Consider the following 23,655-nt stretch of genomic DNA (forward strand, 5'->3'; position numbering starts at 1 on the left):
CAGTCTTCCTTTCATTCACCACTGGTCAAGACATTTCCATCACCATTTAAACAACAATGCTGCTGATAATACACGAGGGAGCACAAAAATACAGCTGCTTCCTTTACAATTGTACTGATTCCAGAACAGCATGGTCTGCCAAAACTGATTTATTTCTTCATACACTTTAGCTGATAGGTTCTAAATGACTCTTAAGAAACAAGAATTAAGGGACTATGCTTGCACTAGGCCCTATTACCTTTAAGATGCTACTAACACTAATATTCTTTGATATGGTGTTGAAAATAAATCATCCTAATATAATGATATATATGAGATAAAATATGTATTTTGCTTAATATATTTAAATATATTTCTCTTATATAAAAATATATTTCGAAAACATAAGAAAAAGAGGATATCTAGCAATTAATTTGACCGTATGAACAGCATTATTCAGATAGAAAAAAGGTACTCTTAGAGAACTCTCACACGCCCAGTTAATACTCAATAAAAATCATTCCCCAGTCAGAAGAATTCAACAAAAAGGAGAAGCATGTTGTTTTCCTTTCCTACTGATATGAACAATTGTAATCTTGGTCTTAAGATTTAAAAGAATCTCAAATCATTGAATCAGATGGAAATGCTAATTGAAATTAGTGTCTATCTTTGCCCAGTAATGTCTTGACTGTGAACTATAGAAGCAGGACTATGTAATTAGGTCCCATTGCCCACCAAATTCTGTGGCTATTCTCTGTTTACTCCAAAAAAGATTCTTGTCGAAGTTTGATTTATAAATGCGAGCAAAGTAAAAAAAAAAAAATCTTATCATTATACAAGAAGTGTATACATACTTATTAAAAATCATTTATATACTGGCCATAAAATATGTGTATTTCCAAATATAGCTGCTGTAGAGCTGGACTCTTGAGTTGAATGTACGTCTTGAGCTACAAAAATGAGGGAAAGCACCATCTTGAGGCACAACTGGAATTCAGGCCTTTGGTCCCTGGATCTGAAAGCAGAGAAGCTGATATGAACTATAGTCATTGTGAGTCAATATTACATGTTGGCAAAATGTGATATAAGCCTTAGCTTTTGAAATTAACATTGACATTAATCAGGTGTTAACCTTGATTATTTCCAGAACTATACTTTTAATAGTCATCTAGTTCAACCAGCTCACTTTGCAAATTAGGAAATTAAAATTTCTAGAACTGTTACAGGATTGTTCCAAGGTTACCCATGAGTAAATGAGAGAGCTGAGGCTAGAACCCTAGCTCCTTAGTCTGTCTCCAAAGTAATTAACTTCATTCATTTAAAAGAATGCCAGATAAAATAGTATTTTTAAATGTGCAAAATTATTGTTCTATAGTGTGTAAAATAATTTTGAGTTTCAAAATTTACTGTATAGAATTTCTTTCTGAGCCAAAGAAGGTAAAAGTATAAACATGCTTTTACAATACATTTTCTAAACTGTAACATTTTTGAAAGAGTGTGAAGTGTGATGTTCATAAAATCTAATTTATGCCTCTTGAAGTGTATTTAATTGGCAATAAGCCTTTTCAAGGAACAGAAATTACAGTCCTTAACCACTAACATCTCATTAAGTTAGTTATATGTGTCCTTTAATGCAAATATCCATTCTTTTGCATGAAAAATAATTCTATTGAAGAGGGTGGTGTAGTTTGGTCCTAACTGTAGCCTGAATATAAAAATGCACATTGATTTTTAAAATCTCATTCTAGCATGAAAGAATCTTACCTGGGCCAAAGAAACATAGTACAAGCTAAATGTGGATTTAATATTTATTGAGCTATTTACCAAGTTTTATATTTTATTTCAGTTTATTTTATTGCACACAAATTGATTCCACACATCTAGAATCTTTCACCAAATTCTTGACTCCTTCCCCAAATCCCTTTAAAACACACGCCCCTAAGGTCACAGAAATGAAAAGACGGTAACAATAAAATTATAGAAGTTGGAAAGCAATTGGTTAATTGTTGAAAAATTTAACAGAGCTACAACAAACAACAAAGTCCTAATGCCAGCAGTAGGGAATGGTGAGAACTAACTACAATGATACTACGGAATCTCCAACAGGCTCAGAAATGGGTACCACCAGATACTTTTAGATACGAGAAAAAGAAATAAGAACTAGTTGAAAGCCTGTTTAAGAAGCAGCCAGATGCCAGATTCACTTTTACACTCTCCTCAGCTGGGAAACTTTCCCTCCCCAGTCCTAGCAAAAGACGAGGTTTATTCTCTTGAAAAGGTTAAAGAAGTCTCTGGACTGGGGGAACCCCGGCACAAGGAAGAAACATCACAATAAAAACAGAGGAATTAAGTGTATTATGTACATTGGAAGCAGAGATCCCCTCAGCCAGCCTCCTACACTCAGGTCCCAGTACAGACCTTCACCCTCCAGGCAGGAGTTTGGCAAAGCCTTGTCTAGGAAAAAAAAGTAGTATAGAAGGAAAGACCTAAAGATCTCACATCAGAGGTTTCCCATCTAAATAGGGCAGTCAGATCATGTAGTCACACACCCATCTATATACTCAGAGCCTCTAATCTGTGCTTTTGTCTCCCACACTTAAAGAGAAGCAAAAAACTAAGAATTTCCAGGTACCAGAGGAAATCCTCTAATGTGAGCTATTGAGACAAACCGAAGAGAAAAAAATACATTAAAACAATTTGGAACACACAAAAACAATGTCAGGGAAAGAAATTTGTTTTTAAAATTAAAAAAAAAAACAATTGTTTGCTGTCTCCCTAGAAATAATCTAACCATGATAAAAACAGAATAATATTTTTAAAAAACTCAAACTTATTTTCCTCAAAAATAAATAATAGCAGAAATACAAAACTAAATAGGAGTGTGGGATGATAAACTTAAGAAAAATATCTTTAGGAATCCATTCCAAGATGGCCGAATAGGAAGCACTCTGATCTGCAGCTCCCAGTGTGATCGACGCAGAAGATAGGTGATTTCTGCATTTCCAACTGAGGTACCTGGTTCATCTCACTGGGACTGGTTGGACAGTGGGTGCAGCCCACGGAGGGTGAGCCAAAGCAGGGCGGCGCATTGCCTCACTCAGGAAGTGCAAGGGGTAGGGGGATTTCCCTTTCCTAGCCAAGGGAAGCTATGACAGACTGTACCTGGAAAAACAGGACACTTTCACTCAAATACTGCACTTTTCCCATGGTCTTAGCAACCAGCAAACCATGAGATTCTCTCCCGTGCCTAGCTCGGCGGGTCCCATGCCCACGGAGCCTTGTTGACTGCTAGTGTAGCAGTCTGAGATCAACCTGAGAGGCTGCAGCCTGGTGGGGGGAGGGGAGGGCGTCTGCTATTGCTGAGGCTTCAGTAGGTAAACAAAGTGGCCAGGAAGCTCAAACTGGACAGAGCCCACTGCAGCTCAGCTTGGCCTACTGCCTCTATAGACTCCACCTCTGTGGGCAGGACATAGCTGAAAAAAAGGCAGCAGAAACTTTGCAGACTTAAACATCCCTGTCTGACAGCTCTGAAGAGAGCAGTGGTTCTCCCAGCAGTGGTTCTCCCAGCATTTGAGCACTGAGAACAAAGAGACTGCCTCCTCAAGTGGGTCCCCAACCCCTGTGTAGTCTAACAGGGAGACACCTACCAGTAGGGGCCAACAGACACCTCATACAGGCGGGTGCCCCTCTGGGATGAAGCTTCCAGAGGAAGGATCAGGCAGCAATATTTGCTATTCTGCAGCCTCCACTGGTGATAACCAGGCAAACAGGGTCTGGAGTGGACCTGAAGCAAACTCCAACAGACCTGAAGCTGAGGGACCTAACTGTTAGAAGAAAAATGAACAAACAGAAAGAAATAGCATCAACATCAACAAAAAGGACATCTACACCAAACCCCACCTGTAGGTCTGTAGGACCAAAGGTAGATAAAACCACAAAGATAGAGAGAAACCAGAGGAGAAGTTAAAAATTCTAAAAACCAGAGCACCTCTGCTCCTCCAAAGGACTGCAGTTCCTTGGGGGCAATGGAACAAAGCTGGACAGAGAATGACTTTGACAAGCTGACAGAGAAGAAGGCTTTAGAAGGTCAGTAATAACAAATTTGTCCGAGCCAAACGAACATGTCCTAACCCATCAGAAGGAAGCTAAAAACCTTGAAAAAAGGTTAGACAAATGGCTAACTAATAAACAGTGTAGAAAAGACCTAAAATGACCTGACGGAGCTGAAAACCATGGCACGAGAACCTTGTGACACATGCACAAGCTTCTGTAGCCAATTTGATCAAGTGGAAGAAAGGATATTAGTGATTGAAGATCAAATTAATGAAATAAAGTAAGAAGACAAGATTAGAGAAAAAAGAGTAAAAACAAAAAAAGCCTCCGAGAAATATGGCACTATGTGAAAAGACCAAATCTACATTTGATTGGTGTACCTGAAAGTGACAGGGAGAATGGAACCAAGTTGGAAAACACTCTTCAGGATATTATCCAGGAGAATTTCTCCAACCTGGTAAGGCAGGCCAACATTCAAATTCAGGAAATACAGAGAACACCACGAAGATACTCCTCAAGAAGAGCAACCACAAGACACATAATTGTCAGATTCACCAAGGTTAAAATGAAGAAAAAAATGTTAAGGGCAGCCAGAGAGAAAGGTCGGGTTACCCACAAAAGGAAACCCATCAGACTAACAGCAGATCTCTCTGCAGAAACCCTACAAGCCAGAAGAGAGTGGGGGCCAATATTCAACATTCTTAAAGAAAATAATTTTCAACCCAGAATTTCATTTCCACCCAAACTAAGCTTCATAAGTGAAGGAGAAATAAAATACTTTACAGACAAGCAAATGCTGACAGATTTTGTCATCACAAGGCCTGCCTTACAAGATCTCCTGAAGGAAGCACTAAACATGGAAAGGAACAACTGTTACCACCCACTGCAAAAACATGCCAAATAGTAAAGACCATCGATGCTATGAAGAAACTGCATCAATTAATGGGCAAAATAACCAGCTAACATCATAATGACAGGATCAAATTCATACATAGCAATATTAACCTTAAATGTAAATGGGCTAAATGCCTCAATTAAAAGACACAGACTGGCAAATTAGATAAAGAGTCAAGACTCATCAGTGTGCTGTATTCAGGAGACCCATCTCACGTGCAGAGATACACATAGGCTCAAAATAAAGGGATGGAGGAAGATCTACCAAGTAAATGGAAAGCAAGAAAAAGCAGGGGTTGCAATCCTAGTCACCAATAAAACAGACTTTAAACTAACAAAGATTAAAAGAGATAAGGCCATTACATAATGGTAAAGGGATCAATTCAACAAGAAGAATTAACTATCTTAAATATATATGCACCCAATACAGGAGCACCCAGATTCATAAAGCAAGTCCTTAGAGACCTATAAAGAGACTTAGACTCCCAAACAATAATAATGGGAGACTTTAACACCCCACTGTCAATATTAGACAGATCAACAAAACAGAAGGTGAACAAGGATATCCAGGACTTGAACTCACCTCTGCACCAAGCAGACCTAATAGACATCTACAGAACTTTTCACCCAAAATCAACAGAATATACATTCTTCTCAGCACCATATCGCACTTAAATTGACCACATAATTGGAAGTAAAGCATTCCTCAGCAAATGTAAAAGAACAGAAATCACAACAAACTGTCTCTCAGACCACAGTGAAATCAAATTAGAACTCAGGATTAAGAAACTCACTCAAAACCACACAACTACATGGAAACTGAACAACCTGCTCCTGAATGACTACTGGATAAATAATGAAATGAAGGCAGAAATAAAGATGTTCTTTGAAACCAATGAAAACAAAGACACAACATACCAGAATCTCTGGGACACATTTAAAGCAGTGTGTAGAGGGAAATTTATAGCACTAAATGCCCACAAGAGAAAGCAGAAAGATATAAAATTGACACCCTAACATCACAATTAAAAGAACTGTAGAAGCAAGAGCAAACAAATTCAAAAGGTAGCAGAAGGCAAGAAGTAACTAAGATCAGAGCAGAACTGAAGGAGATAGAGACACAAAAAAACCCTTCAAAAAAATCAATGAATCCAGGAGCTGGTTTTTTGAAAAGATCAACAAAATTGATAGGCTGCTAGCAAGACAAATAAAGAAGAAAAGAGAGAAGAAACAAATAGACACAACAAAAAAATGATAAAGAAGATATCACCACCGATCCCAAAAAAATACAAACTACCATCAGAGAATACTATAAACACCTCTATCCAAATAAACTAGAAAATCAAGAAGAAATGGATAAATTTCTGGACACATACACCCTCCCAAGATTAAACCAGGAAGAAGTTGAATCTCTGAATAGACCAATAACAGGTTCTGAAATTGAGGCAATAATTGATAGCATACCAACCAAAAAATATCCAGGACCAGATGGATTCACAGCCAAATTCTATGAGAGGTACAAAGAGGAGCTGGTATCATTCCTTCTGAAACTATTCCAATCAATATAAAAAAAGGGACTCCTCCATAACTCATTTTATGAGGCTAGCATCATCCTGATACCAAAGCCTGGCAGAGACACACACACAAACAAAAGAGCATTTTAGACCAATATCCCTGATGAACATCGATGCAAAAATCCTCAGTAAAATACTGGCAAACCAAATCCAGCAGCACATCAAAAAGCTTATCCTCCACAATCAAGCTGGCTTCATCCGTGGGATGCAAGCCTCATTCAACATATGCAAATCAATAAATGTAATCTATCACATAAACAGAACCAATGAAAAAAACCACATGATTATCTCAATAGAAGCAGAAAATGCCTTCAACAAATTCAACAGCCCTTCATGCTAAAAACTCTCAATAAACTAGGTATTGATGGAACATATCTCAAAATAGTAAGAGCTATTTATGACAAACCCACAGCCAATATTATACTGAATGGGCAAAAATTGGAAGCATTCCTTTTGAAAACCGGCACAAGACAAGGATGCCCTCTCTCACCACTCCTATTCAACATAGTGTTGGAAGTTCTGGCCAGGACAATCAGGCAAGAGAAAGAAATAAAGGGTATTCAATTAGGAAAAGAGGAAGTCAAATTGTCCCTGTTTGCAGATGTCATGATTGTATATTTAGAAAACCCCATCATCTCAGCCCAAATCTCCTTAAGCTGATACACAACTTCAGCAAAGTCTCAGAATACAAAATCAAAGTGCAAAAATCACAAGAATTCCTATACACGAATAATAGACAAACAGCCAAATCATGAGTGAACTCCCATTCACAATTGCTTCAAAGAGAATAAAATACCTAGGAATCCAACTTACAAGGGATGTGAAGGACCTCTTTAAGGAGAACTACAAACCACTGCTCAACAAAATAAAAGGGGACACAAACAAATGGAAGACCATTCCATGCTCATGGATAGGAAGAATCAATATCGTGAAAATGGCCATATGGCCTCAGGTAATTTATAGATTAAATGCCATCCCCATCAAGCTACCAATGACTTTCTTCACAGAATTGTAAAAAACTACTTTGAAGTTCATATGGAACCAAAAAAGAGCCTGCATTGCCATGACAATCATAAGCAAAAAGACCAAAGCTGGAGGCATCATGCTACCTGACTTCAAACTATACTACAAGGCTACAGTAACCAAAACAGCATGGTACTGGTACCAAAACAGATTTATAGACTAACGGAACACAACAGAGGCCTCAGAAATAACACCGCACTTCTACAACCATCTGATCATTGACAAACCTGACAAAAGCAAGAAATGGGGGAAGGATTCCCTATTTAATAAATGGTGCTGGGAAAACTGGCTAGCAGTATGTAGAAAGCTGAAACTGGATCCCGTCCTTACACATTGACTTAAATGTTAGACCTAAAACCATAAAAACCCTGGAAGAAAACCTAGGCAATACCATTCAGGACACAGGCATGGGCAAGGACTTAATGATGAAAACACCAAAAGCAATGGCAACAAAAGCCAAAATTGACAAATGGGATCTAATTAAACTAAAGAGCTTCTGCACAGCAAAAGAACCTCCATCAGAGTGAACAGGAAACCTACAGAATGGGAGAAAATTTTTGCAATCTACCCATGTGACAAAGGTGTAATATCCAGAATCTACAAAGAACTTAAACAAATATACAAGAAAAAAACGAACAACCCCATCAAAAAGTGGGCAAAGGATATGAACAGACACTTCTCAAAAGGAGACATTTATGCAGCCAACAGACACATGAAAAAATGTTCATCATCCCTGGTCATCAGAGAAATACAAATCAAAACCACAATGAGATACCATCTCACGCCAGTTAGAATAGTGATCATTAAAAAGTCAGGAAACAACAGATGCTGGAGGGGATGTGGGGAAATAGGAATGCTTTTACACTGTTGGTGGGAGTGTACATTAGTTCAACCATTGTGGAAGACAGTGTGGCAATCCCTCAAGGATCTAGAACTAGAAATACCATTTGACCCAGTGATCCTATTACTGGGTATATACTCAAAGGATTATACGTCATGCTACTATAAAGACACATGCACACGTATATTTATTGCGGCATTATTCACAGTAGCAAAGACTTGGAACCAACCCAAATGTCCATCAATGATAGACTGGATTAAGAAAATGTGGCACATATACATCATGGAATACCATGCAGCCATAAAAAAGGATGAGTTCATGTCCTTTGCAGGGACATGGATGAATCTGGAAACCATCATTCTCAGCAAACTATCACAAGGACAGAAAACCATGTTTTCTGTGAACTGCACGTTCACATTCATAGGTGGGAATTGCACAATGAGAACACTTGGACACAGGGTGGGGAACATCACACACTGGGGCCTGTCAGGGGGTGGGGTACTGGGGGCGGGATATCATTAGAAGAAATACCTAATGTAAATGACGAGTTGATGGGTGCAGCAAACCAACATGGCACATGTATACCTATGTAACAAACCTGCATGTTGTGAACATGTACCCTAGAACTTAAAGTATAATAATAAAAAACAAAAAAGGAGAAGAAAAATATATTTAAAAAGAAAAAAAAGAAATGCAAAATATAAAAGACAAGAAAATTGAAAACTCAGGCCAGAGACCCAATAATTCAGTAATAGGAATTCCAGAAATAAAGGGGAGGAAATTATCAAAGAAATAATTGAAGAAATTTACTTCCAAAGAAGTAAGTTTTACTTCTTTGCAGAATTAAAGTCTTCTGCACTGAGAGCTTAGCAAAATGGATAAAATGGACCCATACCAAGACATTCATCATGGAATTTCACACTATTGGAAATGCAAAGATTCTGCAGGCTTCTTCGTTTACGGAAGTAAAAACAAAAACAAAAACACTTGAACATAAAAGATTGGAAAGCATAATGGCTTTGACTTCTCAATAGCAACCTTGAGAGCTGTAAGTTCTTCAGAGGAGCTTTAAACATCTGCGAACTGTTTGGTTGTTAAATAGCATTTACATAGGCATACGAATATACACGTGGAATACTGATCTCATGAAAAATAACGCATTACTATATTGGGAAGAATGAACAATAGGATGGATGTGGGAGAAGGAGAAGAAAAGAGAGCTAGATATTCATATTTCAAGTTGTAAAGTCAATAGATAATACCTAGATCTAAAACCAAACAGTAGTAATATAATCATATTATTTATCATTTACCTGAAGTTAAGTAGCAAATTATGAACTTAAAGAGATGAAAGTGGCTGCCTGTGGAAAGACAAAATTGGGGGAGGTTGGGTGGGGGAAAGAAGAGGGAGAAAGATTTCTTTTTCTCATAATAAAACTTGTAGATCTGATAAATTCTTTAAACACATGTTTAAAGAATTGGCATGTATGCCTTGGCTAAAAATCAAAAACTAAAATGTAACACATAAACCTCTCTAGATAAATCATAACATGGAATGGGTGCTAATTTCTTTTTTTTTTCTGCGTAAGTTTCATTTATTTATTTATTTATTTATTTTATTTTATTTTATTATCATTATACTTTAAGTTTTAGGGTACATGTGCACAATGTGCAGGTTAGTTACATATGTATACATGTGCCATGCTGGTGTGCTGCACCCATTAACTCGTCATTTAGCATTAGGTGTATCTCCTAAAGCTATCCCTCCCCACTCCCCCCACCCCACAACAGTCCCCAGAGTGTGATGTTCCCCTTCCTGTGTCCATGTGTTCTCATTGTTCAATTCCCACCTATGAGTGAGAACATGTGGTGTTTGGTTTTTTGTCCTTGTGATACTTTGCTGAGAATGATGGTGTCAAGCTTCATCCATGTCCCTACAAAGGACATGAACTCATCATTTTTTATGGCTGCATAGTATTCCATGGTGCATATGTGCCACATTTTCTTAATCCAGTCTATCATTGTTGGACATTTGGGTTGGTTCCAAGTCTTTGCTATTGTGAATAGTGCCGCTATAAACATACGTGTGCATGTGTCTTTATAGCAGCATGATTTATAGTCCTTTGGGTATATACCCAGTAATGGGATGGCTGGGTCAAATGGTATTTCTAGTTCTAGATCCCTGAGGAATCGCCACACTGACTTCCACAAGGGTTGAACTAGTTTACAGTCCCACCAACAGTGTAAAAGTGTTCCTATTTCTCCACATCCTCTCCAGCACCTGTTGTTTCCTGACTCTTGAATGATTGCAATTCTAACTGGTGTGAGATGGTATCTAATTGTGGTTTTGATTTGCATTTCTCTGATGGCCAGTGATGATGAGCATTTTTTCATGTGTTTTTTGGCTGCATAAATGTCTTCTTTTGAGAAGTGTCTGTTCATGTCCTTCACCCACTTTTTGATGGGGTTGTTTGTTTTTTTCTTGTAAATTTGTTTGAGTTCATTGTAGATTCTGGATATTAGCCCTTTGTCAGATGAGTAGGTTGCAAAAATTTTCTCCCATTCTGTAGGTTGCCTGTTCACTCTGATGGTAGTTTCTTTTGCTGTGCAGAAGCTCTTCAGTTTAATTAGATCCCATTTGTCAATTTTGGCTTTTGTTGCCATTGCTTTTGGTGTTTTAGACATGAAGTCCTTGCCCATGCCTATGTCCTGAATGGTAATGCCTAGGTTTTCTTCTAGGGTTTTTATGGTTTTAGGTCTAATGTTTAAGTCTTTAATCCATCTTGAATTGATTTTTGTATAAGGTGTAAGGAAGGGATCCAGTTTCAGCTTTCTACATATGGCTAGCCAGTTTTCCCAGCACCATTTATTAAATAGGGAATCCTTTCCCCATTGCTTGTTTTTCTCAGGTTTGTTAAAGATCAGATAGTTGTAGATATGCGGCGTTATTTCTGAGGGCTCTGTTCTGTTCCATTGATCTATCAAAGGATAACTGTAGTCTCTCTATGGAGACAGGTGCTTGTCAGCTTATATATGCATCTGAATATTGAGAAGTACCAGAATGTTCTCTTTTACATGACATGTTCTCTAGGTTGCCATATGTCCTAGCATTCCCAGTAAAGTCCTATTTTCATACCCCATGTTCAGGCTAATTATGTAAAGTACCTCTTTTTACTCTCAAAGCATCCTGGTTGGAGAAAATTAGGTGGCTACCCTAATATTGCTCTCTCACACCTCTCTATATGTACACTTGCTATTTGCATTAGTCCGTTTTCACTCTGCTAATAAAGACATACCCAAGACTGGGTAACGTTTACAGGAAGGAGGTTTAATGGACTCACAGTTCCACGTGGCTCGGGAGGCCTCACAATCACGGTTGAAGGCAAGGAAGAGCAAGTCACGTCTTACATGGATGGCAGCAGACAAAGAGAGAGCATGTGCAGGGAAACTCCTCCTTATAAAACCATCAGATCTCATGAGACTTATTCACTATCACGAGAACAGTATGGGAAAGACTCGCCCCCATGATTCAATTACCTCCCACTAGTCTCTCCTACAACACATGAGAATTGTGGAAGCTACAATGCAAGACGAGATTTGGGTCGGGACACAGCCAAACCATATCGCTATTCTTCTTACCTTGAATTCCCTTTCCCAAATGTCCTGAGAAAAAGATGGCTTCACATTTCTGTTCAAGTTCTACGTCCTCATAAAGATTTCCTTGAATTAAAGATTTTTCCTGTCCCTTTTTACACTACATATATAACTTCATTACAGCAAATATTTAACTGTATTGCAGCTGTTTACATGTTGTCTTCCACTACAGCATAAGTTCCATGAGAGCAAGGATCATGTCTCTCCATTATTGATGGTCCAGCACTCAAGATGGGCTGCACAGAGTAATCCACACAATTCTTACTGAATAAATGAAGTTACCATTTATCTTATTATATAACATTTAATTTTTAGATATATATGTTCTAAAAAGCCTCATCCTTATAAAGGATATTGGCAATTCCATTCTGATATGATTTATCCCAACCATAAAAAAATTCTAGGCATAATTCCATTCCTATATTCAAACTAAAGAGTGAGAGTCTGTAATTACAAATTCTTAGTTGAGTTTGAATACCTCCATTGTATAAATGCTCAAACATATAATCTACCTGTCTGTATCTATTTCAGCAGCTAAGATAAATTCACAAATAATCTTAGCATTATACATTGTCAGATGAACATAGCAAACAGATAGAATTCGATGTTTTCAATTTAATAATGAAATATAAAATGCCTTTCTGACTCTTTTCTTTTAAACTGAATTCAGATTTTCATCTTACCCAGTTTCATGTGAAGGTGAATTATGCTGGAATTTTTAAGGGGAGTTGGACTGAAACAACTGAAGGTGCATTAAAATATTCCTTTTCTATTCTAAACTACTGTCCTTTCACACATGTAAAAATCACATGGAGATGTTGAAAAATAAAGATTCCCAGGATTTGGTGTGTGTGTGTGTGTGTGTGTGTGTGTGTGTGTGTGTGAGTGTGTATATATTAGATTATATATTATACTCCAGGTATACATACACATATATTATTTATTATTTTAATATATAAAGTATTATATAGTATACATACATTTTAATATATTACTATTTATAAGCATAGATATATTTACACCTTGCAGTGGATAACAGGTTGAATTACCTGAGAATTCAGTAGGATAGAGACTTGGATGTAAAACTATGTTGCTTTAAAGAAAATAAAGAAACGTACGCTTTCTTGCACAGTTGAGTATATGAACTAAGGTTCACTCTCACCTGCACATACAGCTTTGATACTGTAAGTGAAGCTGAAGAAATACTCTATTTAAAAATTAAAACATCAACTCAGAGAGCAAATTTTCTCAGAGTGAGAGGTGTACCCCACAACAGACCCTGCCTGTCTTTTCATTCAGGGTGGGGCGGAGGAAGTATGCAGGTGGGTTGTCTGATCAGAGTCTGCTGAGAAAGATAGGATCTGCCCACCTGAGCACAGCTTGCCCCCAACACCTCTCACAGGTACAGAGGCCAGTAATAGCAGAGGAAAATTATGACAGCCATATACAACAATCAACCTAATCTTTCACATAGTAAATATGAACAACTAATAATCATGTTACCTAAAACAATAATAACACAAAAAAGAAAGATCAAAATGAATGAAAAACAATTGATTCAGGAGGAAAAAGTATAGTTCCAGTAAGAGAAGAGAACTTAAAAATAACTCTCATTAGTATTCTAAGAAAGATTCATGAATATACTCATTCATAAACAAGAACAAACTAATATGCAAAAAGTGAATAACAGAATAAGTAAAAGTCCATGAAAATTAAGAATACAATTACCAAAATTAAGAAAAAAATAATCGATAGTTGAATTGGAAAAAAAGAAGCCTCTCAAAATGTAAAGCAATAAAAAAGATGACAAATATAAAATGTAAATCCAAGAGGTCCAACATCCATCTAAGGAGTGTCTCTAATGACAAAGAGCAAAGGCAATCAAGGAGAAGAAATAATCATTCAGTGGAAAAAAATCTCCAGAGCCCAAGATATGACTCTTCAGAAAAAAGGGTTCATTCAGGAAATGTGGTTCAGGATCATTTAAAAGAACCCATAAACATATCCTCATTAAATGTCAGACCATCTCAAGAAGTGTTGCTTCTCATTCCTTTCTCTGGATCTTCTGCTTCTCCTTGACTTCTAAATTGTGTGAACCAGGGCTCAATATTTTTGCTTCTTCTCTTTGTCTCTTCTATACTTCACTCATTTACTATTGTCTCATCTAGACTCAACATTTTGAATGCTATCTATGTCTTGATAACTGCCAATTTTATATCTTTATTTCCAAGCTCTCCATAAAATTTCTGACATCAAATCAATTTCCTTCCTGTAATCTAACAGACATTTCAAAAAATGACTAAAGTAGAACTTGTACCTCAATCCCTACTTCAAATTGCTCATCTCCTAGTCTTCCCCATCTCAGTAAGTGGCAACACCATTACAGTAGCTCAGGCCATAAAACCACGAGACATGCTTAACTCTTGTCTTCCTCATTCTGTGCATACAACCCATCAGCAAAGCCAACATCTACCAGAAGTTTGAAAGAAAAATGTGTTCAAGAGGACTATTAATTCCCTAAAACTATTGTGAAATTGCATTTTCTCTCTCTTTTACCTCTCACAACTCGGTTTATATTAATTGTATCTCTCATTCAAAATAACACATTCTTTAAGAATATGAGAATGCATCTCCTTGTGTATGGTACAAACACTGTAAGTTCTACAATAAATAACACTTACATAATATTTTAAATGTTGGCAATTGCTTTCAAATTTTAAATAATCGAAGTGTGAAAGACATTTATATTTACTAAGTTTAATGTAAATTCTATAAGCCTTGAAATTATAAAAGTAATTTAAAAGCAGGAGTTAGTAGGTGGAAATAGATGTGGAAAAAAATACAGGAACAAAAAAAATCTCTACTCTTACAATGTAGGAAACTAGGAGACACTGTGAAAAATTGATGGGTCAAGACATAGAATTTGTATGATGGTAAGTAACAATGGAACTTCTCAAAAAATGCCTGGTAGGGACTGGAGTGGGGAGAGAGGACAAGTATGAGAGATGTCAATTTCTTATGTGTAATAGAGGGGAATCAATAGCTATTTTTAAACTGGTACATTAACAAGCAACACATATGCATATTGTTTAAGGTTTAGATTTAATCTCAAGAAAAACTAACCATAAAGTGATTAAAAATAATCACTTCTGATGAGTGGGAAAGGAGAAAAGGATAATAAGCCTTATGTTTTATTTAGCAACCTCCTGGTTTAGGAATTAAATGAACAAATAAATCAAAATATTAACAAATAATAAAGCAGATAATCACATTCAATCTAGTTCTGTGCCTGTATTTTCACACATATTTATTTGGATAAGATTGTATAAGGAAATACCAATTTTTGTTTCACTGGTAGTCAGTAGCATAAAGGACACAAATATTAATTTAGTCTATTTTAGTGTAGTTCTTATTTTTAATCCACTACATAAGTACACAGATTGGTTAGCTACTATCTGGTCAAAACATATTGATGCTAGGGTATGCATTTATTAAAGAATTCTATTTTTAAAATCCTCCACATCTAGACCCAGAAAATCTCACACACTGATTCACTGTAATTTTCTCCTCAAAGTACTACAGGCCTATAGACCCCTCCCAAGTGAGGCACTGCAGTTTCGAACACAGTAAATATTTCCATTGTGCTAATGCTATCTCTTGTCCTACTTCTATGCCTATAAATATAGCACTATTTTTACCTTGAATAATGCATGGCTTGGTGGCCTGCAATATTAAAATAGAAGTCTGTTGTGTGCTTCATTTCATTGGTGTGCCCAGTGGCCTCAATCCAGTGTCCTATTGGGAGACAATACACACCATCCACCAAGTTGTTTTCATTGTAAGTACAGCAACGGTCATGATGAGGTCCATTGCCTAGAACAAGAAAAAATGATAAACAGAGCAATTAAATCAGTGTTTTGTTTAAATATCCTCAAAGCAGCTGATACAAAATTAATAGCAAGAAAAAAATAAACATAAAGCTACTTAATCTACACATTTCAGTATAAACAAAAAAGACTAGAGTGAAAAACAGAACGGTAGGAATTTGTAAAGAGCTACTTAGGAAAATCAGAGTTTTTTACTCCCTTTGAGTACATGGGTTATAAAAAGCATGTTAACTCTTTCAGAGCTTCATGGTACCTCTCAGTGCTCTAAGAGGCCATTATGAATCACTTTGCAGCCTGAGAAGCTCCTAAAAAAAGTTTTTAAAGCTATTAATGCCCCTGTATTATACACTTCTATCTTTCTGGTATGCAAATTTACGAATAAAATCAGGAATAAAGTGTTGTAGTATCAGCTCAACAAAAAAATGCATAATTATAAATAAATGCATTAATAAGTAATAAATGACCACATCAAATCTACTTTACAGGTAAAACAGTTATTATTATTGTTTTCAAATGAGGAAAACAAGTCTCACAGAGATTAACTAGCTTGCCCAAGGTCACAAAACTAGTAGTGCGGAGCTAGTAGCACCTGCCTCTCCTAGTCCCCCACCTTTCTGGCGTCTGATGCCTTTGTGATGCTCCCTGCTGATGTCACATGCACAAAGACACACCATCTTCCTTCCAGGGCCATGGATCAAAGGAAGCAGACACACATCTCTAAAAATATTATTTGCCTATTTCACGATTGCCCAGTATCAACTACACTAGTTGCTATGGTATGAATGTTTTTGTCCCCCCAAAATTTATATGTTGAAATCCTAACACCCAAGGTGTTGGTATTAGAAGCTGGGGCCTTTAGGAGATGATTAGGTCATGAAGAAGAACCCTCACAAATGTGATTAGCTCCCTTATAAAAGAGGGGTGAAAGAAACCCCTTGCTCTGTTCCACCATGTGAGAACACAGCAAGTCGTCGCCATCTATGAACCAGTAAGTGAGCCCTCACCAATCACTGAATCTGGTATGCCTCAATCTTAGACCCCCCAGCCTCCAGAATTGTAAGCAATAAATTTCTATTGTTCATAAGCTAACCAATATATGGTGTTTTGTTTATAGCAGCTCAAATGGTCTTACATACTAGTAAACCTTGATTTCTACAAAAATTATAATTCATACATTATTTTTACTACCTTTTTATCATCCCATTTCAAATCATGCCTCTCTTTATACTACCTAAGTATAATGTACTGTAAGAAAGACATGTAAGCAAACTAAATGCATGAGTGGTTTACAGAAATAAATCACATTTGTTATGAATACAAAAATGTGATTCATTTGTTCTTTTCTCTTTGTTCTGTCTTACAAAATATTTAACCTAAATTTGCTTGGCGTAAGCTCTCAAAAAATCCTTAAATTATTTGATGTTTCTTTGAGATATAACTCCTTCCATCAGACAGAAGGTACAGGATGACTCTCTTAATAAACCATTACTGATCTTCCTAGATCAGTCTCCTCTTTTTTCTCTTAATGGATTTTTTTTCTCGACGACTACAAGGTGCTGCACCACATCTCTATTAACCTTCATTTTTAATAGATAAAAACCAAACTACACTAGCAACCTCACTTCTAGAAACATATCCAACAGAAATATTACTAAGAAAAAAGAATTTCTGATGCACACAGAGATACATGCGTACAGTAATACTATTTTAATAGAAAATACTGTAAACCATATAAGTTTTTTTTCATTCTTCTACAGATATTTATTGAGACAGGTACTGTGCTAGGTCATGTTAAGAACTCAGATATTTATCATAAGAGCAACTAAAAATTTGAAATATTCTAAGCAGGCATGTAACATAACCAGATTTTATTTTAAGGATACCTCTCTGGCTACAGAGTAAAAAAATAATTCAAGAACAATCAGATAGAAGCAGAGAGTCCATTTAAGAAACTACTATATTGGCCTAGGTAGTTTATGATGAAGCTTGGTCACAGACTTTGAAAGGATTATGCAGATTCAAGAGGGAAAGGCCACAGGACTTGGTGATTAATTGGAAAAGGAAGGTGAAGATGAAAGGGGATTAACAATGCCTCTTAAGCTTCTAGTGAAAATAATTCAATATACAGTGGCACTATTCACTGAGATGCAAAATCTGAAAGAGGCTGTAAGGAAAGATCATCTATCTAGTTCTGGCAATGTTGGGTTTGGAGTGCTCTTTAGATATCCAAAAGGAGTCCTCAAAAGAGAGCTGGAGTTACTCATTTGACATTAAGACCAGAAATCTGAACTAAAAAAATAAATATATGAGTAATTTGAGTGTAAATGGTAATTGAAATAGGAACATAGATGAGTCACAAAGAAAAACAATATTAATAAGGAAAAAAGTTCTAGAACAAAGTCTGAAAGTTTTTCAATGTTTAACAGCCAGCGAGAGAAGGATAAACTTACAAAAGATGAATAGAGGAGCTGAAAAGGAAAAGTAGGAGTGACTAAGTGAAGCAGCAGAGCATGACTGAAAGTGTAAACATAGACTACAAACTGGATATGGTTACTTCTAGGAAATGGAATTGGATGGAGGGGAACTGTCATAGTCAACTGTTTTGAATTGATTGGATTAGTTACAAGGAGCGGGTGTTACTTTTTTAGTTAAATAAAACAATATCTGTGGCTCCCATTGGTCAGTATAATTGACTTACAACAATTGAATTATTACCTATTAAAAATATAATTGTTGAAGAGATCAAATATTCATAAATTACAATGGTCAAGAAGAATTATTTATGTGTCATCATCTTCATAAGAATTCTTCATTCCTAGAGTGATTTCTTTAATTACTCATTTTTACACATTTATGTTTTAGGCAACATTTTTAAAAGTCTTTCATGGATAGTAAACTGAGTTATTCAAAATATGTTCTAATAATTAAAATGTCTTTTAGAGGATGGGTTATTGTCTTTTTAATTTCACCTAATGAAATGGCAAAAATGAATAGTAAAATAATTTTGGTTTTGGAGATTTCTGCATGGAGAACTATGGAATAAATGTACTTTTCCCTAGTCCTCCCACTAAGTATAATTTAAAACCCTGAAAATTATAAATAAACAAACATAAGATAACTTTGAAAGACAAAGAGAAGAAGACAGACTATCCAGGGACACTGAGACCTAAGAAAAGACCTAAGTATTGAGTTCCCTGCATTTTCTTTTTGCCTTATATATCCCAGACTTAGATCTGAAGAAGCCAGCAACCTGGTAACACAAGGACAGAAAAAGAAAACATGACAAAAGTCCATTCTCTCTAGCCAAATGAAAAGACAAGCCTAGCCAGACAGAAATCTGTTTGATAATAACTACACTACTCCAGTCAAACCCACTGAAAAAATGTGGCCCCACACCCACTCAGGCCAGCAAAGGCCAAGCATGGGTACACTTCCACTTTTGTTTGCCAAGCTGTATTGCAGTGCCTCAACCCACTCACTATCATGGTGTCAGAGAAGGATGAGTAGGGGTCTGAAACTTTCAGCATCATCGTTGGCAATATAGTGGAGTCCAAGTGGAAAGGTGGACTTCCACCTCCATTTGGCAGTAACGAGGTGCCCCTTCTTTCCACTGAGATCGTGACAAAGGTGACCTAGTGGAAAGTCAAGATTTCCACCTCCTTCCCACCCGACCATCAGTGGATGCCATGTAGGAAGCAGTAACAAGGCATTCCTCCCTGTCTCAGCCAGGGAGCTATCAATGGAGGCCTAATGGAGAGTTAGAACTACCACCCCACTCAGGGAGGAGTCTGTTTGGTTTGGTTATGAATGGAAACAGTGTGAGGAACCTGGGTAATAAGGTGGGACCTCCATTCTTCTGCTGGAGTGGTGTCAGAAGAATTCAGTTAAAATCAAAGGTTTGCATAAGAGCTAACCTCAGGCCGGGCACGGTGGCTCACGCCTGTAATCCCAGCACTTTGGGAGGCCGAGGCGGGTGGATCATGAGGTCAGGAGATCGAGACCATCCTGGCTAACAAGGTGAAACCCCGTCTCTACTAAAAATACAAAAAATTAGCCGGGTGCGGTGGCGGGCGCCTGTAGTCCCAGCTACTCGGGAGGCTGAGGCAGGAGAATGGCGTGAACCCGGGAAGCGGAGCTTGCAGTGAGCCGAGATTGCGCCACTGCAGTCCGCAGTCCGGCCTGGGCGACAGAGCGAGACTCCGTCTCAAAAGAAAAAAAAAAAAAAAAAAAAAAGAGCTAACCTCATTACATAATACCCAAAATGTCTAGGTTTCAATAGAATGTTACCCATTATACCAATAACCACTAAGATCTCAAACTAAATGGAAAAAAAAAAAGATGCCGGATAAAGGCCAACACCAAGAGAACAATGATGTTAGAATTATGTGATAATTATGTGATAAAGATTTTAAGGCCTCAGTAACCCATTAGAACACATTTCAAACAAATGAAGAATCGGAATGTCTCAGCAATGGAATGGAAGATGAAAAGAGGAACTAAATATTAATTTTAGAACTGAAAAACACAATATTTGAAATTTTCAAAACTCAATAGATGGGTTTAAGAGCAATATGGAAGGGACAGAGGAAAGAATTCACAGACTTCAAGATAGAATCATGGAAATTACCCAATCTAAACAGCAAACAACAGAAAAGTAGGCTGAATTAAAAAAAAAAAAAACAGACACTTAGGGACTTGTGGTACTATTAACAGAAGATCTAAATTTATGTCATTGGAGTCTTGGAAGAAGAGGGAAAAGATAGTAGGGCTTAAAAGTACTTAAGAAAATAATGCCGGAAAACTTTTCAAATTTGGCAAGAGGCAAAACCTACAAATTCAAGCAGGTGAGCAAAGTCCAAACAACATAAACCCAAAGAAATCAATACCGAGACATGACATATTTAAACTTCTGAAAACTAACAACAGAGAAAATCATAAAAGTAGCCAGAGAAAAACAGCAATGTAAAGGAAAAAATATTCTAATATGAGCAGATTTCTCATCAGAAGTCACCAAAGGAAGTGTCATTTTTCAAGTGCTGTAAAAAAGAACAACTGTCAACCAAGAATCTTACTTTGTGACTATTTCCTTCAGGAAAAAAAGGGAAAATCAAAACATGCTTATGAAGGAAAACTAAGAAAATTTTGCCGCTGAATTATCTTAAAAATGACTAACAGAAGATGTCTAAACAAAAAGAAACTCTTTGAAAACAGGAAGAATGAGCACAGTAAACAAAATTATAAGTAAATAAGCAAACATTCTAACATTGTCTGATGCTATTCTACATGTATGTAAAGGAAATATTTAAGGCAATTATATTGCAAATGAGGAAGGACAAACGAATGAAAAAGGAGGTAAGTTTTCTAAAATTCACTCAAACTCGTAAAAGGTTGATACCAGTCAACTATGATGTTAGGTATATAATATACATAATGTATATAGAAATTCTATGTGTAAATCAAAACAGAATTCTAAAAAAATGTTCAATTATGAACCAGACATGCCACACAATCAGAGAAAAAGGAGGAAGAGAAAACAACCAGAAACAAAAAATAAAATGGCAAACTTAGGCTCTAACATACCAATAATTATGTTAAATAGTCTAAATACACCAATGAAAATACAAAAGTTGGCAGAATAATTTTTAAGTGAATCAATTATATGCTGTCTAGAAGCAATTCACTTCAAATTATATACACAGGTGGGAAGTAAAAGCATAGAAAAAGATATACTATGCAAACATTAATCAAAAAGCAGGAGTAGTTATATTACTATTATATAAAGTATACTTCAGAGAAAAGAAAATTACTAGAGAGGGGAAATTATACAATGTTTAAAGTATCAATCTAACAAGAAGACACAGCAACTTTAACTGTGTATATATCAAACAGTAAGGTGGTTAAATACGTAAAGCAAAAAACTGAGAGAACTGAAAGAATTTTAAAACTCCAGAATTATAGTTTAAGACCTCAACACCTCACCCAAAACAATTGTTAGAACAATTAGACAGAAAATCAGCAAGGATATTAGAAACCTCAAGAACACCATCAACCAACATTATCTAGTTGACATTTATACAGCACCCAATATAGCAGAATGCACATGTTCAACAGTACATAAACCAAGATAGAACATATCCTGTACCATAAAACAACTTCAAATTTTTAGAAAATTTAAATCATACAAATTGTGTTTTCTGACATTAACAGAATTGAACTAGAAATCAATAATAAATAGTTTTAGGTTTTATATTTAGGTTTTTAATCTGTTTTGTGTTAATTTTTGTATATGGTATATGGAAGGGGTCCAGTTTCAATCTTCTGCATATGGCTAGCCAGTTATCCCAGCACTATTTATTGAATAGGGTCCTTTCCCCATTGCTTATTTTTGTTAACTTTGTCAAATCAGATGGTTTTAGGTGTCTGGCATTATTTCTGGGCTCTCTATTCTGTTCCATTGGTCTATGTGTCCATTTTGGTACAAGTACCATACTGTTTTGGTTACAATAGCCTTGTAGTATAGTTTGAAGTCAAGTAATGTGATGTCTCCAGCTTTGTTCTTTTTGCTTAGGATTGCTTTGGCTATTCGAGCTCTTTTTTGATTCCATATGAATTTTTAAAGTTTTTTCTAATTCTGTGAAGAATTTTATTGGTAGGCTGATAGGAATAGGGTTGAATCTATAAATTTCTTTGGGTAGTATGGCCACTTGAGCAATATTAATTCCTCTTATCAAGGAGCATAGAATATTTTTCTATGTGTTTGTGTCATCCCTGACTCCTTTGATCAGTATTTTACAATTCTTGTTGCAGAATTCTTTCATGTCTCTGGTTAGCTGTATTCCTAGGTATTTTATTCTATTTGTGGCTATTGTAAATGGGATTTCATTCTTGATTTGGCTCTCAGCTTGGATGCTGTTGGTATATAGAAATGCTATGATTTTCATATGTTGATTTTGTATCCTAAAACTTTGCTCAAGTTGTTTATCAGAACAAGGAGCTTTTGGGTAGAGACTGTGAGGTTTTCTAGGTATAAAATCATATCATCTGCAAACAGGGATAGTTTGACTTCGTGTCTTCCTATTTGGATGTGGAGGCAATCATTCTAAGAGAAATAACTTAGAAAGTCTAATACCACATACTCTCACTTATAAATGGAAGCTAAGCATTGGATATACATGAACATACAGAGTGAAATAATAGACATTAGAGACTTCAAAATGTGGGGAGGTAGGAAGAGGTGAGGGATGAAAAATTACCTACTGGGTACAATGTACACTATTCAGGTGACAGACACACTAAAAGCCTAGACTTCACCACTGTGCAATATGTCCATGTAACAAAACTGTGCTTGTACCCCTAAATCTGTAAAAGTTAAAATTAAAAAATAAATTTATCAAAGTTAAAATTTAAAAAGTAAACATATAAATCGCTCACTATGTTGGGATAAACTAATCTGTATTTTTGGTAGAAAAGTAGAAAATTATTGGTTTAATTAACAAAAACATCTATTTCTTCAGAACAGTTTTAGCTACTTTGTTATTTGTTCATCAAGGCAAGTTAGGTGATTTCAAACGAAGTGAGTAAATGTGTAGGAGTAAGGGAACTGCTGTCTGGCACTCCAATTAAAGCCACAGAAATAAGAAACCCTAGAATTTAAAAACTCACAACTAACTCATTATTTTACATAGTTCTATAAGTTTGAGAGTTTCGGTTAAAATATGTGTATTTCTTAATAAATCCAGAAGTTTTGAAA

General features: G+C 36.3%; 1 protein-coding gene across 17 annotated transcripts in view, besides 2 other annotated features; it reads right to left on the reverse strand.

Moving 5' to 3' along the window:
- Positions 1-23,655, reverse strand: part of EPM2A (EPM2A glucan phosphatase, laforin) — a 352,671-nt gene that overhangs the window by 287,053 nt on the left and 41,963 nt on the right. For 12 of the 17 annotated variants that reach the window (NR_153398.2, XM_024446550.2, XM_011536113.3 and 9 more), the window contains one exon: positions 15,717-15,891. Coding sequence is in view for 16 of the 17 variants with exons in the window: in XM_024446550.2 (XP_024302318.1) it covers positions 15,717-15,891 (175 nt within the window). In the remaining variant the exon portion in view is untranslated. Of the gene's footprint in view, positions 1-833; positions 995-3,626; positions 3,799-12,003; positions 12,255-15,716; positions 15,892-16,438; positions 16,473-23,655 lie in introns of those variants that run through there. The other 5 variants (NM_001368132.1, XM_047419364.1, NM_001368129.2 and 2 more) reach the window with 5 other exon arrangements.
- Positions 2,692-3,363: an enhancer, noted in NCBI's record as "H3K27ac-H3K4me1 hESC enhancer chr6:145994233-145994904 (GRCh37/hg19 assembly coordinates)". NCBI's record gives its function as "activates a minimal SCP1, AML or CMV promoter by ChIP-STARR-seq in primed H9 embryonic stem cells {active_cell/tissue: H9 hESC(primed)}" and the evidence as "EXISTENCE:reporter gene assay evidence [ECO:0000049][PMID:30033119]".
- Positions 3,364-4,035: an enhancer, noted in NCBI's record as "H3K27ac-H3K4me1 hESC enhancer chr6:145994905-145995576 (GRCh37/hg19 assembly coordinates)". NCBI's record gives its function as "activates a minimal SCP1, AML or CMV promoter by ChIP-STARR-seq in primed H9 embryonic stem cells {active_cell/tissue: H9 hESC(primed)}" and the evidence as "EXISTENCE:reporter gene assay evidence [ECO:0000049][PMID:30033119]".

This window comes from Homo sapiens, chromosome 6 (assembly GCF_000001405.40).
Source record: "Homo sapiens chromosome 6, GRCh38.p14 Primary Assembly".
NCBI lineage: Eukaryota > Metazoa > Chordata > Mammalia > Primates > Hominidae > Homo > Homo sapiens.